General features: G+C 39.8%; 1 long non-coding RNA gene across 1 annotated transcript in view; it reads right to left on the bottom strand.

Annotated features, from left to right (window-relative positions):
* LOC105378485 (uncharacterized) overlaps positions 1-15,386 on the bottom strand; it is a 47,984-nt gene extending 32,598 nt beyond the window's left edge. Inside the window, exons 1-4 of the long non-coding RNA XR_007062289.1 lie at positions 15,148-15,386; positions 9,787-9,995; positions 7,889-7,968; positions 6,531-6,682 (exon numbers count right to left, since the gene is read on the bottom strand). This is a non-coding gene — a long non-coding RNA (uncharacterized LOC105378485). The remainder of the gene's footprint in view (positions 1-6,530; positions 6,683-7,888; positions 7,969-9,786; positions 9,996-15,147) is intronic.
* Between the last annotated feature and the right edge of the window lie 3,499 nt (positions 15,387-18,885).

The raw sequence follows: 18,885 nt of genomic DNA, 5'->3' as shown, positions 1-18,885 counted from the left end.
GGCTGACACCAGAGAAGAAGCCCGGTTTGGGGAAAAGGAAGGCAGTGAGTTTGGTTTTGAACAAGTTGAAAGAGCCCAGAGTGGGCTCTTGATGCTCTGCTTTCTGCTCCATTGATAAGGGGACTTGAGGACTTCCTGTATTCCAGGTGGTGTGTCCTGTTCTCAAATCCTCCGTGAAGGACTCAGAGTTTTAGGAACTATTGGTTCCTTCCCAAATCCCTAATTAGAGGAGCTGGAATAACACAGTCACGCTCTCACTCTGTTGGCCACATTTGCAACAGAGCGGATTCACAGTTCAGAGCTACAGTGTTTGACCCTGTAATCTTCTCTTTTAAAATACATTTCACGCTTATTAAGCCCAAGTTTGGCAGTTGACTTAAGATCCATGATAAGAGCTTTTTACAGGAATAGGCACACAGAGACCAAACGGAATTGGGAGTGTGGGCACAGCTAATCATTTGGGGTTTTCCACTGTTTATAGGAGAATCCCATCAACCTCCAACAGGAACACAAGATTTCAAGTTTCCAGAAAAAGGAGTGGTTGTTTCTGGCTAAGGACATTAAGCAAAAATTTCCTGTAAAACTTGCATTTAAGTTGTCTCTTAGAGTATGAGTATGGTTTAGACAAATTGTGATGGGAAAAAGAAAAAGAATTCAGGCTAAGGAAAAGGCAAGGGCCAAGGCAGTAAGCAGGAAGATAGATGACATATCTCCTCCCCAGACACCTTCCAGAAGCCTCTACTTATTACCTTGTCCTGAGCACAGAGCCCTTATCTACCCTTACTTAGTGAGAGTGATTGCCACCTGCAAAGAGTTTCAGCTCAGCAGCTGATGCATGACCACATTGGACTAACATGGAAAGGGTTGAAGACAAGGAGAAAATGGAACTTGGAAAATATGTTTTAACAATCACTATGGGAAACAGTATGGAGATTCTTTACAGAATTAAAAGTAGAGCACTTTATCCAGCAATCCCACTACCGGGTATTTTTCCAAAGGAAAAGAAATCATTGTGTGAAAAAGACACATGCACACACATTTACAGCAGCACAATTCACAATTACAAAGACATGGAACCAACCTAAGTGCCCATCAACCAACAAGGAGACAAAGAAAATGTGGTATATGTATATACCATGGAATACTACTGAGCCATAAAAAGGAACAAAATAAGGTCTTTTGCAGCAACTTGAAGGAGCTAGAGGCCAATTATTCTAAGTGAAGTAACTCAGGAATGGAAAACCAAATATTGTACATTCTCACTTATAAGTGGGAGATAAGCTATGAGGATGCAAATGCATAAGAATAATATAATGGACTTTGGAGACTCAAGGTGGAAGGTTGGAAAGGGGGTAATATGGTTTGGCTCTGTGTCCCCACCAAAATCTCAACTTGAATTGTAATCCACACATGCAGAGGGAGGGATGAGGTGGGAGATGTTTGGATCATGGAAGCAATTTTCCCCAGGCTGTTCTTGTGATAGTGCGGGAATTATCATGAGATCTGATGGATTAAAAGTGGCAGTCTCCCCTGCATACTCTCTCTCTCTCCTGCTGCTTTGTGAAGAAGGTGCCTTCTTCCCCTTCACCTTCCACCATGATTGTACGTGTACTGAGGCCTCCCCAGCCATACAAAACGAGTGAATTCAACCTCTTTTGTTTATAAATTACCCAGTCTCTGGTAGTATCTTTATAGCAGTATGAAAATGGACTGATATAGGGGGTGAGGGAAAAAAAGACTACATATTAGGTACAGTGTACACTGCTTGGATGACAGGAACACTAAAATCTCAGAAATCACCACCAAAGAACTTATCCATGTAACCAAAAACAACTTGTACCCCAAAAATGATTAAAATAAAAAATAATTAAAAAGGAAATGCCTTGTTTTCTACCTGCCTTCTTCTCTTCTATATCCACACATGTGCTAGAATAGCCTATTCATTATTGCCTAAACACATCCTTTAGTTTTCTCTCCCCCTACCTTTAATTATACTGTTCTCTCTGCCAGAAGTATTCTTCCTCCTCCATCACTTTCTTTTCAAATCTTATATCTCCTCCATGGTACTACATCCAACTCAAAGACTACCAGAGATGACACTTCCCTTCCAGCAGCTTTCCCATGTGCTTCTCATTTGATGTCTCACTCTCCAAGCTTATGTTTGGTCATGTAGGGGTCATGCTAACAACACTTCTTGTGCCAGAGCTATGTCTAGTTCCTCTTCAGAGGCCCAGAACAACTTTGCACACAAGTGAGAGCTTCATAAATGTTAAACAAATGAAAGGCCAAGCCTAAATCAAGAACTCCTGGGTCCTCTTTCCAGTTCTGACTCTGAGCTCCAAAACACAGGAGTAATGTAAAGCCAACCACGTCCATCAAATACTTTTTTTCCATAGCCTGAAACCATGATAGTGAAACTATGAGCACCTAGATGGTTTGTAGCCAAATTTACTTTTACTTTGTCTGAGTTTCGTAGCTTTATCTTGTGAGAAAAATTTTTTCCTGACAGTAAACTGGTATTTCCTCTGGCTTCATGTGCTCTACCTCGTGGTAGAGAAGAGATGACTGTGGCAGGGAATGTCTTGTTCCTCTGCCCACCAGGCTGCCCAAGCTGAGGTCCAAATGCCACTGTGTACATGTGCCTGTATATGCCCTGTGTACACATGTGCATGTATGTGCAGACGTGTGTGCAGGAAAGTGCATGTGTGACCGTGGACATGTACAAAGACAAAGGTGCAGTCATTGGCATATGTCATACCCTTCTCAAGCCAATCCTCTATTTTGGAATATTTTGGCTTTGGCCAGAGATAAAGAGAGAATGAATCTATTCCCCAGTGATAATCACATTACTGAAAACCACCAGGAGTCATATTTATCTTTCTCATTTATCCAAACCCCAAACAGCCTTCTGCAGCAAATCACATTTCAGCATGGCAGATTATTCTGTCTGTAGCATAAACTTCTCATTGCGTCTCTCTCAGGAGAAGCCTCTCTAGGTAAATATAAATCTTACTCTAATAGCAACATTTGGAGAAGTAATGTTATTTGCCCTGATTTAGAGAAAATACAACATAGTCTCTAGCAAAGCTGATCCTTTCTTTCGAAATTGATCAAAGGCACATAGAAGCAACACAAATATTTCTCCGGCAGAGTGAAGCGCTGGTGTGTGTGGTGGTGGGGGTGGTGTGGAAGGGAAGGGGTTGTGGCGGGGGTCTTGATGAATTATTCCAGCCTTCTAACCCTCCCTCTGTGGAGGAGGCGGAAGAGTGGGATCCCTCTTTTTTATTCTTGTGATGTGAGTGGTTTCTGCAGACCAGTTCATAAGATTCATATAGAGTTGAGAAAGATCAAATGACTATTTCTCATTGCACAACTGAGAGTCTGCAAGTTTTACCCCAAGGGAACATGAAAACTCAATCCAGTATTGACCTCAGCATGTGGAGGTGAGCCTCTGAGAGTGCGGTGAAGGAGCAGACAATTACCTCCTTAAAGGAGAGACGGGGTTTTAATGACCACAGCTAGATGGGAGGGGAGGGACCCCGTGAGCCTCTTTCCTGCCTGGCAGAGTCGCTGCCTTTCTGATCCTTTCCCACCTCTAGCCCCTGGGGAAAGGGAGACAGAGTTTGTAATCAATGATTGATTGATTAAATAAATAAATAACAGTGCTGGCTGTTCTAAAGCACCACTCACTGCAACCAGCTTGAAAGCCTGGGCACTGGAGTCAGACTTGCTAAACCTACATCCCAACACTCCTGCTTACAAGCTGGGTGATCCTGAGCTCATTACTTATCCTCCCTATGCCTCAATTTCCTTATTTACAAGCTGAATTGCTAGAATGGTTGTGAGTATTGAATGAGTTAATGTGTGGACCTAGAGCAGGCTGTGGCACACTAGAGAGTGTCAACCATATTATTATCATTTTTCACAGCACTGATGAAACGCTCCTTGTGAACTTCTTTCTTGCCCACATTCTTGTGAAAACCACGCTATACAAAAGAGCATTAAATATGTAGATTTACAAACTTGATGGGTTACAAAAAAGCTGCAAAGGGCTTAGGACAGGAGGACAGTAATAATTAAACTATCTGTCCCTCCATGGTCTAAGATCTTTTAGAATCCAGGCCAAATACATACTAAAATGTTCTATTTTTCTTGGGTTGGTTATATAGAATTCACTTTTGGGATCAGAGGCCATTTTCTGTCTTCCAGAGTGAAAGTGTGCTTCTAACTACTTTTAGGATTGGAAAGAATGTAAGAGGAAGAATCAGGTCTGAATTTAATATCAGTGGGCCATGTGATTTGTACAAGTCCCTTCTCTTCTGTGGGCCTCAGTTTCCCCATCTTCGTAATGAGGAGGGTGTTGTCAATGGCCTTTGAAGAATCACCCAGCTCCACCAGTCCATCACCACCCCCATGTTCTAGGTAGCCTTTGTGTTGTGACTGAACTTCAGAAGTGGACAATAAGTTGGGGGTTACCCCCAATGCCCCAGGACTCAGGCTGGAGAAGTGAGCAAAGAATCAATGACTTACTTGGTTGTTGACATCTCAGTAGTTTTGTTTATGCTCATGGGGCCAGCAGAGTGATAATAAGTGTGGGTCTCCTGCCCCATTCTTCCAGTAGCACACTCATGGTGAGACAGGACCAACATCAAAGACCGAGTGAAGGAATTGGCTGTTGTGTGTCAGCCACTTCCCTCTGGAGGGCTGATGGTTCTCAGGCTTCTTCACTGTATGACCCTCCATGAGGTCCTTGGGTGCCCAGATTCTAACTATCTCACCTTCCAGAGGACACTGCTCATGGTACAGGCCTTGCTGCCCCCAACAGCCTCTGACAACTCTGTACTTCATCTCTGTACTTCATCTCCTTCTTGTCCTGGGCCTCCTGTCAAGCCAAGAGCTGGTGACCAAAGAGAGTGGAGGCTGGCCCAGCTTCACTCTGGGTTTCCATCTCCCTAAAACCACTGGTTTCTCCTCCCTAACAATTTCAGAGCAGGGTTATAAAACCCCATGTTTGAAATGCAGTAGAGCCCTGCTATTTCAATAAGGCAAGAGAGTTGGGTCTCTCAGCAATCAGAGAATGCATCATTCGATAAATCCTCAAACAAGAATTAGGCACCTGCCACATGCTAATAACAGTAGAGTAATCTTTAAGTGCAAACTAGATATTATAAAAGCCTCTTCACACTTTTTATCTCTTTAATATTTATAACAGCCTTATAAATCTACTAGAACAGTAGATATTTTATAATGATGCTCAGAAAACTGTGAATATTCTGGAAAGTGACACAGTCAGGACTCGACCAGAGATATAAGTACAATAGGAAATATGAAAAAACAAAGGACCTAGCTCCTGCCTCTAAGAGTGAATATCCTGTTGGGGAAAAAGAATGTGGGCTCCATCTGGCTTTGTCCTGTGCTATTGTTTGATAGTTTAATGCCCAGTGATAGGTAACATATTATGCAGATTATGAGATATAAGAGTTAGCTCACTCTGGCTTGGGAAGTGAGGAAAACTTGAAAGGGCTTCCAGCCAGGCTTTGGAAGATAGGGAGGGATCCTGTCAGCAAGGGGAGACCTGATCAGATGAGAAAAATAGCACTATCAAAGGCCACCCAACCGGGCCCTTCAAGAGCCTATTTCCTTCAAGTTATACTTGACTAAAGATGCAGGTTTGCATTATGGAAAAGGACACGAGAAGAAATTGCTCAGGTATTTCCTCACATTCAGAGCTGTGGCTGGCCTTGAGATCTGGGGACTATGTGCATAGGAACATGATCCAGGAAACAGCACTAGAAAATGGTTCTAACAATATATGGTGAAGCTCAAATTAAAGTTGGCTTGACTATTCCTAAGAGACAGCTCCTTAAACATTTTACCAAGTGCTATTCATGGTAGAAAATATAAAGACACACCCTAGTATGCTCACCTGTTTGGATTTTTAAAATTCATGCTATGCTTGTGTAATTCTAGAACATATTCCTGTTTATTTCAATCCACTTATTTATAAATTCCACAGATATTTGAGCCCCTATTCTGGGTTAGGAACTGTTCCAGGCGCTGAGAAAAAAAGCAGTGAAAATCCATACAGTCAACTCATGAAGTTGCATTTCTGAGTTTTTTTCCACATTTCAGTAGAAAATGGTCTCTTGGAAATGTATGGCATCTATTTGGGGCTTCTGGTACCCTCAGCGCAATGCCTGTGGGAGTCCCCCAGGGTATGCATGCCCACATTTGAGGAGTAGAGTCCTCAGAAGACACTCATCCAACCCATGGAAATAGGAAAGACTTCACTCCTTTAAGGAATTTTCTGTCAAATATGGGTATGATCTTCCAAAGCTGCACATCAATAACAGTCTTACTCTCTTCCTCTCCTATTATCAACAACCCTTAGAAAGAACCAAACCCTGGTCTTATGATCTCTCAATGTTCCCAAACTATGCTTCTATTTGTCAGGATTTCTTGGCTGCCAATAACAGAAAATCTAAACCCAATGGCCTCAACAGTAAGTACCACCATGTTCTGTATCTTACCTGACATGGGATGTATGATGGAGTGTTCCCAAGGGGACTAATTCGGTGTTCAAACCAGCATCACCAAGTCATATTCTTTCCACCATTCTTCACTGTCACACTTAGCATGCTAGCTTGACCTCTAGGTTGGCTCTTTCATGGCCCTAAGAAAACTACATACAACATTTTTGATGGTCATATGCAAGTGTCAGCTGGAGAGAGAAGAGCCCATTTTCTCTAAGCGTCTTTTGTTTGGTTGATTGTTTTTGGACTGAGAAACTCTTATCCAGAAGTCCCCTCTGTAGAATTCCCCTCACATCTTCTCTGTCAGACCTGAGTCATATGACTTCCCCTAAACCAGTCCCTGGCCAGGCAAATAGGATTACCATGATTAGCTGCCATGTGCTTTGAAAGAAGTGGGGATACTTTCCTATGCTGGAAGATGAATCCTGACTAAATATTTTTAAGCAAGGAGGAATGGGGAAAGGAGCAATGCCTTCTGAATGGGTAGCGAAGCGATCTGACACCATGGTTTCCTCTCATGTACTGAATTCCAAGATGGCGCTTAGTGTCATGTAAAATGTTTGCCTCCTACATGCCAAACATTGTCCTAGACACTGTAAAAGACATTGATTCCAGGTGCCTTCTGAGTTTTTCTTCAAAACTCCTCTCATAATCTGGACTTTTTTTCTGCTTATTTGTTAGTTTGCCTCACCAGCTGAAATGCAAACTCTAGGAAGGTAGTGACCATGTGAATCTTGTTCATTGTTTCAACATCTAGGGCAACACATGGCACACGATTGGCACTCAGTGAATATTTTTGAATAAATAAATAGGTGAATTCCTTACAAGATGCAATATTCTTCCTATTCTTCCATAGCCATTCTTCTTATTTTCCTTTTGGGGAAATTGGTCAATAGAGCTCAGGTAACTTGCTCAGGATCACTCAGGGAACATGTGGTAAAGTCAAACTTTAAACCTAGATCTGTTAGATTCCAAGTCCTTGTTCTGTCCCCAGTGCTATATTCCCTGTCCTTGCATGAACACAGCCTTTGATTTCATGAGTCCTCTTCCTTGGACAGCTACAAACCCCTTAGTCTCTAACTGCAGTCATGCTCTCAGTCACCTCTGCTCCTGCTCTTCTCTTGATCTGGAACCTTTTCTACCCACCTGTGCAGAGCTTCTCCCCACCCTGTACACATCCATGCCCAAAGTTTAGCCCAGGTCCCTCCCCCTTCCTGACACCATCATCTTGCCTCCATTTCTTCATCCTCTACTTCTAGCTTAACTGATCTCCCCAGGGAGAATGCAAATCCTCAACTACCCCATGGCCTTGAGAGAATAATGACTATGATCTCAGGTTCTATGGCCGGACTCACTGTGTGCAAATCCCAGCTCCTCCTGCTGATTTGTGTGATCCTGGGCAAGTTTCTTTGCTTCTTTGGGCCTCTTTGCTGATCTGAAAAATGGGGATAACCATGGAATGCACAGGACAGAGTTGTTGTGAAGACTGAGTCACCACGTGCAGAAGTCTTCATGCAAAGCACATGGTAAGAGCCATTTAAATATCAACTGTGATTTTTCATTTTTCTTATTTTCTTTCTTAACAGTGCCAGGCACTTGAAGGATGTTGAAGAAATTCCTGCTAGCACAAATTTGCTAATCGCCTGCTTCCTCAGTATATGGTATTTCTCCCATACTGTCCCGCAAATTTCAAGGACAGGCATTGTTAGTGTTTTCTCCTTCCTCTGTACCCTTTCAGGGTCTACTGTAGTGATAAAAGCCCGACAAGCACTTAGTAAATCCTTACGAAAATGAACAAACCAAAAAAGCCCTGGGCTTCAAAGAAAATTCTCATTTGAATTTCTTTTCTGCCTTTCCTCTTGCCTTTAATTCTACATCTCTTCTTCCCTTCTGAAAATCAGATTAAGCCCCACTGAGGCTAAACCGATAGTGTTTCAAGTCATTTTGTTAATGGATGTAAATTGGCTGTAATCCTTTTGTTTCATGGCTACTGGCAGTTGGTCAGGCAGGTGACTGAGATGAAGATTTTAATCACACCCAAAATATGATACCGGCTTAGAAAATGTCAGCCCTCCCCTGCACCACAGAGTCATTTATGATGACGCTGCAGTCGGAAAGAACCCAGAGAAACCTTAATTGGCCTTTGGCTAATTTCAGAAGCCAGGCCTTCCTTGTAATTTGCTGCAAAACTGGTACAATTCTCTGAAATAAGATCAGTGAGAACGTTACAGAAAATGGCTCAAGGCCAGATCTGTGCACCACAGATTCATTAAGGATGCCCTAGCTAGATTTAGCTTCCAATGCGCTTGTCTTCGGGAGCACTGGTTTCCTATTAGGACTTGACTTTCCAAGGCCACAGAAAAAGTTGCTCCCAGCAAGGTTTTGCAGCTGCCCCTTTGGTCCACACTTTAGTGACCCCAGAGAGAAACACTGGTGAGAGAGAAAAACAGGATAGTTGATTCACTTTGGGCAGGAGTCTGTGTCCCCACAAAGGTGAGTCTGGAATTGAAATTTAGAAAACGAGAGCATATAGAGCATATCAGCTGAGGCCAACCTAGGTGACACCTGGGCTTACACACATACAGTAAGGCCTCATTAACTTAGAACAGGGATGGCAAATGGATTTCATTTCATATGACATTTCTGATCGATTATAGTGGCTGCTGAGAACACTGTGTCCAGAGGGATTCTCCCACTGTATCTCAGCTCAACAAGAAAGAATGCTGTGATCATTCAGCAATGTCTGCTGTGGCAGAGTCATAGGAAGTGAACCCATATACCATGTGTTTGCAGTCTTTGACTTGGAATAATGGAGACAGAGTGGATTTCTGTCCAAAATGTTGAAAAATCTGTAAAGCTCCGTTGTGTTTTTTTATTTACTATTTTCTATAGTAAACAGTAACATAAATCAAAATAGGAATGTCTAAAGTTAGAGCACTTATTTAAAAGCTTTTATTCAGTGGACTCTCACATTTTTTGTTTTCTATCATTGGAAAACCTCTATCATGAGAGCCTATTGATAGTTTGTCAGTGAGGGAGACAGTCAATACAGAGGAGCTGTTCTATGGTAATGAAGGAGAGAAACCAAATGCCCAGTGTCGCTCACAGAAGACTTCTCCCTGAGTACATTCACCTTGAAACAAACCCTATACACATACCCCCTATTTCCATGGGTTCAGGCAAGCCTTAAAAAGAGAGCTCTTGCTCATTCTCACCATTTGCTGAAAGAAGCAGCAGCTGATGAGTAACTTACCTGTTTCACTTGCCATCTGCGTCATTGGTTCAGAACAGTAGGAGGGAACCCAGGAATTGAGCAAGAGGAAAGTCGCTCCACCAAGGGTTAGCTCCAGCCCCACTGCTGACACTGCCTGGTGTCAGCTCTGACAGCTGTTTGGCAAATCCACTCCTCCACTACTGTTCATGATGACAGCTTGAAATGGGGCTGGGGATATTCTCCCTTTCCTGAGTAGAGAGAATGAGAGAAATCAACACAGCAAGAGACATCTTCTCTGCATATTTTGTGGGTACCTGCAGGCTAATGGAAAAGGCACCAGTGATTCAGAGAGTAGGAGGTTTCTGTGCAAGTCTGAGCCTGGAGTGCCAAAGACTGGCAGTAGCCCTGGAATAAAGACAGTGCAAAGATTTCTAAAGACATTTCAATCTTTTCAAAGCCTGGGCTTGAATGTTTCAGTGCAAGTCAAGGGAAAGAAGAGGGGTTTTTTGGGAAGCAGCTGCCAGAAGTTCCACCTTCCGGCTGATGAGCTTCCCTTTCAGGCTGATGAAAGCAAGACAACTTCTTCAGCTTCACCAAGAAAGACATTTAGAAAAAGTCAACTGAGTCAGGCTAGAGATCAGCTCAGGAAAGTCACTGTCCTCCTCTCTCTCCCCCTACTGTGATATCAATAGCTGCAGAATCATCCCTGGTTTCTAATAAACTTGATGAAAATATGAATAACAGTTTTTTTCTGTTCACCTTCTCATGAAGTGGAAAATTCCTTAAATTGGGGGGAGGTTAGTCAGTGGACCAGTCTAGTTGGAAATTAAGTTAAATTCAATTTACATAAATAAATTGGGTTACTTTGGTATTGTAATTAATTCTTGCTTTGTAAAGTGAAGTTTGTCCCTGCAGACTGTGTCGCAGAATGTGCCATGAGAAACTGTCCTAATCTTACTGACAGCCTGGCTTCAAAGTCACCAGCAGATGGATTTTAAGCTCTTTGAGGACAGAGTCAAGGCTGATACTGTTCTGTTGGATAATCAGGTATTCACTTGGCAAGTATTTATTGAGCGTCTACGGTGGTTGTCCACCAGTATACACATGGTGCTTAAAAGTAGATACGATAGACAGATGTCCCTTCATTGATCTTATGATCTGGCTGAGGAGGGACAGTTTATAAATAAGGAATCCAATCAATAACAAAATCCTTTCAGGTGATGACAAATGCTATTTTATACTATAAAAAAATAGAAAATAAAAGCAGTAAGAAAGGCCCCTGGAGATTGGTGGCTCAGGGAGGAGGTGGTACATAGATGATAAAGAGTCAGCCTAACTCCTAGCAGAGGAAATGTCAAGTGCAAGGTGCCATAGGCAGGCAGTCTCAGTGGTACAAGAAACAGAAGGAAGACCAGCATCACCAGAACCTGGTAAGTGAGAGGGAGAAAGACATAAGAGGAGGCAGGCAGGGCAAAGAGGGGCTTAATCAATGAGAAGCCATTAGAACATTTTAAGGTTTTAATCAGTGATCTGATTAATATTTTAAAAGGTCATTCTAGCTTCTATTTAGAAAATGGATTGTAAAGGTAACAATAGATGCATCTTATATGTACATTATCATTCTAAATCGAAGGGGGGGCAGGTGAATGAGTGTTGAGCAGAAGTACACAGGCAAGAATTAGCTGGCTCTATTCATGGGTACAGGATAAGCTGCTATAACAGAAAGGTCTCACAATACAACAGCTTGAACAATATAGTTTATCTTCCTGTTGATAAGTCCATAGGTGAATAGTCCAGGGTTTGAGGGATGGCCCTTCTCTACAAACTCATCAAGGACACAGACCACTAAGTTGACCCAGCCTGTGGCTTCCATCTCTGAATCCCAGGCAAATGCTCTAGTTTTGCTATTTCCCAGCCATGAAGAAGCAGATAAAGGGAGAACTCCAGAAAGCGTCTGGTCAATGTTTAATAGCTGGCTCTCTGAGGGGGAAAAAAACGAACCCTGATTTGTAGCATTTGCTGATGTCCATGGTCTAAATACTTCTACCATGACTGATTTCAGACTACCAGCTGGACCTCTCTGAACTCAGAGTTGGAAAGAAATGCATACAGTGAGATCTCACAGGCAGTATGAGCAGGCTCAGTATACCACTGACCTCAGGACAGAAAAGAAATCCTTTACAAGTAAAAGCTTTTGCTAATTCTGCTGAAAGAAGTAAAAGCTTCTACTACAAGCTTGAACTATTCTCATATGGAAGCGTGATAAGGCACACCACACTCAAGAACACTAGACCATAGAGTCTGGGAGAAGCTACACATTAATTAGTGAAAAGGGGTTCAAAACTTTACTGAACTTCCCAGAAAAGAAACATTTTAAATGATGGGGGTAGAACACACGGAATTTTTAGGTTGGTAAAACTATCCTGTGTGGTACGGTAATGGTGGCTACGTGTCATTACACATTTGTCAAAAATCTACAGAATGTATCACACAAAGAGTGAATGTTAATGTAAACTATAGACTTTACTTGGTAATAATATATTAATATTGGCTCATCAATTTTAACAAATGCAAGAGGATGAGAAGGGAAATTGTGGGGGATGAGGGAGAATATTGGAACTCTTTATACTTGCTGCTAAACTTTTCTATAAGTCTAAAACTGCTCAAAAACATTAACTATATTAATTACATCAATTAAAAATATTTGTAGGGGAAAGATCACCATGTATATGTACATAAAGGTGAAAGTGTGTGTCTGTGTCTGCATGTGTATGCTGATGAGTATGCCTGTGTTTGTGTTGGTGCATATGTGTGTTGGGTGTGGAGGGTGATAGGAGAGACTTCTTCATCGGCCTGGTGACAGGAGAGCTAATTGGCTCACTGTGCTGCCCCTGAACCTCAGACCCAACAGAGTCAGCCCAAAAGCAATCCTTTGGAGGAAATGCCCATCATGCCTCAGTCAACATGGTGCCTTCCTCCATAAGTACACTAATTAGGGGCTTATTAATGTGGGCCTGCCTGAGACTGTACTTTCATTGACTATAGATATTTCCCATGAGAGTTCCCCTAAATCAGGGGTCCCCCAGCCTTTCATCCCTTTATTTGTAATTCCCCTGTCTACAATTGTTTTGGAAATAACCATCCACATGCATTCTGGTCTTGGAGGGGAAGGAGCACCAAGATGGAGCTTGAGAGGAATCACTATCCTCTTCTCCCTTTGTCCTTTTCCCAAAGACAAATAACCGTAAAGGATCATCTATATTATGATCTAAAATATCCAATTTCCTTGCTATTATACTATGGCCTATATGATAGTTCTCCTCCAGAACCTGTGAATATGCTCCTTATATGACAAAAGAGACTTTGCAGATGTAATTAAGTTAAGGATCTTGAGATGGGAGATTATCCCATTTTATCTCAAGATGGGATAATCTAGCCAGATGGACACAATATAATCATGAGGGTCCTTACACGACAAAAGTCAGTGTGACAAGGGAAGCACAGGGACAAAGAGAGAGAGATTAGAAGATACTGTGCTGCTGGCTTTGCAGTTGAAGAGTGGACTTGAGCCAAGGAATGTAGGTGGCCTCTAGAAGCTAGAAAAGGCAAGGAACTGATTCTCTCCAAGAACAACTAAAAGAAATGTAGCCCTGCTCACCCATTTTAGGACTTCTGACCTCCAGAACTGTAAGAGAATAAATCTGTCTTGTTTTGAGCCATTAAGTTTGTGGTATTGTGTAACACAATTTGTGATACAAAATGGGAAACTAATATACATCACTGCAGCCTGAGAATCTGCACTCTCTCCAAGATTCAAGCTCTCCAGGTATCCCTTTGTCTGCTTATTCTTTTTTCTTTTAGCACCTACTTTAACCTGTGGCCCCTGCAGTGAACCTTGAACCCTGACAAAACACACGTCATCTTGTCTCACTAGTGCCAGGCACAGTTGCAGGCTGGCGCATCAGGGCACTCAGTAAACACTTGTTGAATGAATGAATGAATGAATGAATTTTTCCAAAGTTATTCCATGCTCAAAAGGAAATATTGGGATTTATTGTTTTTGTGTTTTTTCAGTTATCTTCCCTCTATCCTGTAAGAAACCACCCACACACATAATTTTGGTGGCCTCTAGCTGTAAGTACACACAGATTCATTTCTTGTTTTGACCTGGCCCTGTGATCTAAGCTCTTTATGGGACTCCAGTTCCCAGAACTTCCTGCTGGTAAATGGACATCTCAACTTATTTTTATATGGGGTGTCAATTTAAACTAAAATCAGATGGGAAGCTCTACACAGCCCCAAAATATACTACGCTGGGTTGGGGTCAAAAAGAGATGGTGACTGTATCTGGGACAGTTTGCATGTGGAACTAATAAAGAAAACCTTAAATTTGGGCTCATAAAGAGAAAAAACTGCTACCAAGTCACAGATTGTACCCCTAACCCAGCCATCCATCTCAGATATGCAATATCCTGGGTCGCAAGGAGACTAGGCAACAAATTATAAGCAGATGAGATCCTAATATGGAAAAACATATCAAAGGCTGTCTCCTTCTGAGGGTGGGTCATAAAGTCTAAAAGTATCCAAAATACGATTTGCAAAGAAATTTAGAGACCAATAGTTCAACTTCTCTTCAGAGCTTGGTAAATGACTTCTCCCAGACCTCAGTTGTCTTAAGACAGTAAATGTCTGTTTCAAGTCTTGGCAGCATGTAAGTACAGGAAGTCACTTTTGTTTTTTAAATTAAATGCAAGGAATTAATGAAATGATCACATTAACTTTCTAAAATTTAATATTGACTAATTTCACTCTTTGGTCCTTTACAAAGCAGTTGAACTCTGTCAACCAAGAACACACGCAACACACACAAATACACATACAGGCACGCAAGCACGATTGGGAAGGGTGCTGATCCACAGAGGGGACAAGAGCTGTGCAAAAATCAGCTGTTCCCACCCTCCTTTCTCTTTGATTCCTTTCCATGAAGCTGGAAATGCCAAGTGTCAAATATTTCCAGTTACTTAAGCCCCTCAAGATGGATCTTTTATTTCTCAGAGAGAACACTGGGCAGGAGACTTCAGAGAAAGCTCCATTTAAATGTTCCAAGTTGATTTGCTTTTCCATGGGAGCAGAGAAGGAGGAGGAAAATGCCAATTAAACCAAGGCCTCAGGCACAGTCCTCTCATTACAGGAATCTGTGGTGCAAGATCTTTGCAGAACCCCTTCACTGTGCTAGATGAGCTCCTGTGATTGCCCACCTCTTAGAATGACCTCCAGGCCAATGACAGAGCATTCTTTCAGTTGTTCCAAATGAGACCCCATGGCTAGTAGGACATTTGGCATTTCTGTAGGGGTTCCTTTAAGCCACATTTTTCTACAGTCATACATGGGAAAACTTACCTCAGCTTAAATACAAGGAAATGCTCCAAGCTTGTGCATCTCTACGGATGACTAGTAGAGTCCACTTGATTGGAAGAAAGGCAGGCACCTCATGGCTTTGAAGTTCTGTTGTCTTTTGGACAAACAAGCTGGTACAATGGTGTTCTCATGGTGCTCAGCTTTGATCTTAAAATACAACCCATGAAATGACTGGAAGAGATAGTTCACAGTAAAAGAAATACAGTTGGTTAAAAGTTAATGCCTGTAATCCTAGCACTTCGGGAGGCCGCGGGTGGATCATGAGGTCAGGAGATCGAAACCATCCTGGCTAACATGGTGAAACCCCATCTCTGCTAAAAATACAAAAAATTAGCCAGGTGTGGTGGCGGGCGCCTGTAGTCCCAGCTACTTGGGAGGCTGAGGCAGGAGAATGGCGTGAACCCAGGAGGCGGAGCTTGCAGTGAACCGAGATCACGCCACTGCACTCCAGCCTGGGCGGCAGAGCCAGACTCTGTCTAAAACAAAACAAACAAAAAAAATTATATGGAAAAACTTTGACCCCATTTGTGATCAAATATGTTTACATTTATATAACAATGAGAGATGACTCTTGTCTGTAAAATTTGAGAAGAAATAAATATAATGTGTACCTATATGTGTGCATGTGAATGGGTATATGTATGTATCTATATCTCAGGTCTGGTGAAACTGGCATGTAATAAACATTCTCGTAATATGCTAGTGACAGTATCAGTTGATTCAACTGTCTTAGAGAGTACCAGTCATTTATGTCAAGAACCTTAAAAAAGAACCTTTTGGACTAGTTATGCCACTCCTGAGGAGGCATTTGAGAGCTATTACCCACATTTAGTATACACAAAGTCTTCAAAGCAGTAATGTCTACAGTAGCAAAAACAATAAAAGGAAACAGTGTAGCTCCTGATTATGATGTACTCACATTACAGATTATGCAGCCCTTGAAAATGGTATATAAACATTATCTTTAAAACACTGTAAAAGGCATATATTGTCATGTTAAAGAAAAGGATAAAATTTATATGCTGTATGCAGATAATTTCTGGGGGAAAATAGAAGGAATGTAAGCACAGCAAAATGCAATTGGTGGTAAGATTGTGGAGAGGTTGTTCTTATTTTCCATTTTCCAGTTTTTACAATGAGTATATATCGCTTTTATAATCATAAAAATATAAATAAAAATTTGCTATATTTTAAACCATAAATAAAACTGAAAGTACATAGAAAAGGTAGCCCATTTTTGCCTCTACATTGGGGAACATAAGCTATAGGAAAACTCATATCATGTTTTAATCCCTATGCAAATAGAACTCTAGTTTTCATATGCAGATATCATGAATATGGAGAATATGGAGACTGTGGCAGCTGAAACCAGTACTTTGATAAATGCCAATCCCTGCAGGACTATTAGAGAGAGGATTTGTGATAATCCTGTTGACATAACCCAGAGAACTTTACCTATTCCAGACATCAATTTGAACACAAAAATGTCCAAGACAGACAAACAGCATGGGGTAATTAGGAATTGCAGTAAATGGATTGGGGGATGGTTTTGTTCATCTCTGTTTCCAAAATTTCAATAACAGATTCCTTTGGAGGGTGAAATAGAATAAAGCACTCCAAGCTAATATTTGTGTTGAGAAACACTAGGGTGCAGGAAATATCTCCTTTGTCATCTTGAAAAGGTTAGGGCAATACAACGCTACAATAAAATGTTTTAGAATCCCTCAGAGTTGCATGCATCACTGGACAAATTATGGCCCTGGCCATAGAATGATCCTCTGCAGCATTGGTGAGGTAAGACCCCAGGGCACAGGACCTTTGCTTACATGCAACCCCAAACAATTTTGCCCATTGCAAAATCAGGAAAATTCACTTTAAAGGGTATATTTTCAAGGAGGCAGTGTTGACTTCCCTGCAAGGGAATCTGCTCTGACTCAAGACTTTTAATATGTTTTGCCATAAAATATATAAAGGAATAGAAAAGAATATATTTTTAAAAGTTGCCACAAAAATATCTTTTTAAAGATGGTATTTTTAAAAAGACCCACTGTGGCCGGGCGCGGTGGCTCACGCCTGTAATCCCAGCACTTTGGGAGGCCGAGGCGGGCGGATCACGAGGTCAGGAGATCGAGACCATCCCGGCTAAAACGGTGAAACCCCGTCTCTACTAAAAATACAAAAAATTAGCCGGGCGTAGTGGCGGGCGCCTGTAGTCCCAGCTACTTGGGAGGCTGAGGCAGGAGAATGGCGTGAACCCGGGAGGCGGAGCTTGCAGTGAGCCGAGATCCCGCCACTGCACTCCAGCCTGGGCGACAGAGCGAGACTCCGTCTCAAAAAAAAAAAAAAAAAAAGACCCACTGTATTAGTCAGGGTTCTCTAGAGACAGAACTAATAGGAGATATATGCATATATGTATGTATGTATGTGTGTATGTGTGTGTGTATATATATTTATATATGTTATATATATTTATATTATATATAATATATATTTATATTATATATAATATATATTTATATTATATATATTTATATTACATATATTTATATTATATATATTTATATTACATACATTTATATTATATATATTTATATTATATAAATATACATTTATATTATATATATTTATATTATATAAATATACATTTATATTATATATATTTATATTATATAAATATACATTTATATTATATATATTTATATTATATAAATATACATTTATATTATATATATTTATATTATATAAATATACATTTATATTATATATATTTATATTATATAAATATACATTTATATTATATATCTTTATATTATATAAATATACATTTATATTATATATCTTTATATTATATAAATATACATTTATATTATATATCTTTATATTATATAAATATACATTTATATTATATATCTTTATATTATATAAATATACATTTATATTATATATCTTTATATTATATAAATATACATTTATATTATATATCTTTATATTATATAAATATACATTTATATTATATATCTTTATATTATATAAATATACATTTATATTATATATCTTTATATTATATAAATATACATTTATATTATATATATTTATATTATATATATTTATATTATATATAATATAAATATATTTATATTATATATATTTATATTATATATAATATAAATATATTTATATTATATATATTTATATTATATATAATATATATATTTATATTATATATAATATCGATATTTATATTATATATAATATCGATATTATATATAATATATATATTATATATAATATATATATTATATATAATATATATATCTATATTATATATAATATATATTTATATTTTATATTTTATAATATATAAATATATATTTTATATTTTATAATATATAAATATATTTTTATATATTATATATATTTACATATAATATATATATATATATATATATATATATATATATATATATATATATATAAGGGAGTTTATTAAGGAGAACTGACCTCAGGATCACAAAGTGAAGTCCCAGGATAGGCCATCTGCAAGACGAGGAGCCACCAGTAGTGGCTCAGTCTAAGTCCCAAAACCTTAAAAGTAGGGAAGCCGACATTGTGCAGCCTTCAGTCTGTGGTGGAAGGCCCAAGAGCCCCTGGCAAACCACTGGTAGAAATCCAAGAGTCCAAAAGCCAAAGAACCTGGAATCTGATGTTCAAGGGCAGGAG

This window comes from Homo sapiens, chromosome 10 (assembly GCF_000001405.40).
Source record: "Homo sapiens chromosome 10, GRCh38.p14 Primary Assembly".
Taxonomy (NCBI): Eukaryota; Metazoa; Chordata; class Mammalia; order Primates; family Hominidae; genus Homo; species Homo sapiens.
Note: the sequence above shows the minus strand (reverse complement) of the source record. Positions and strands in the feature narration are given on the sequence as shown.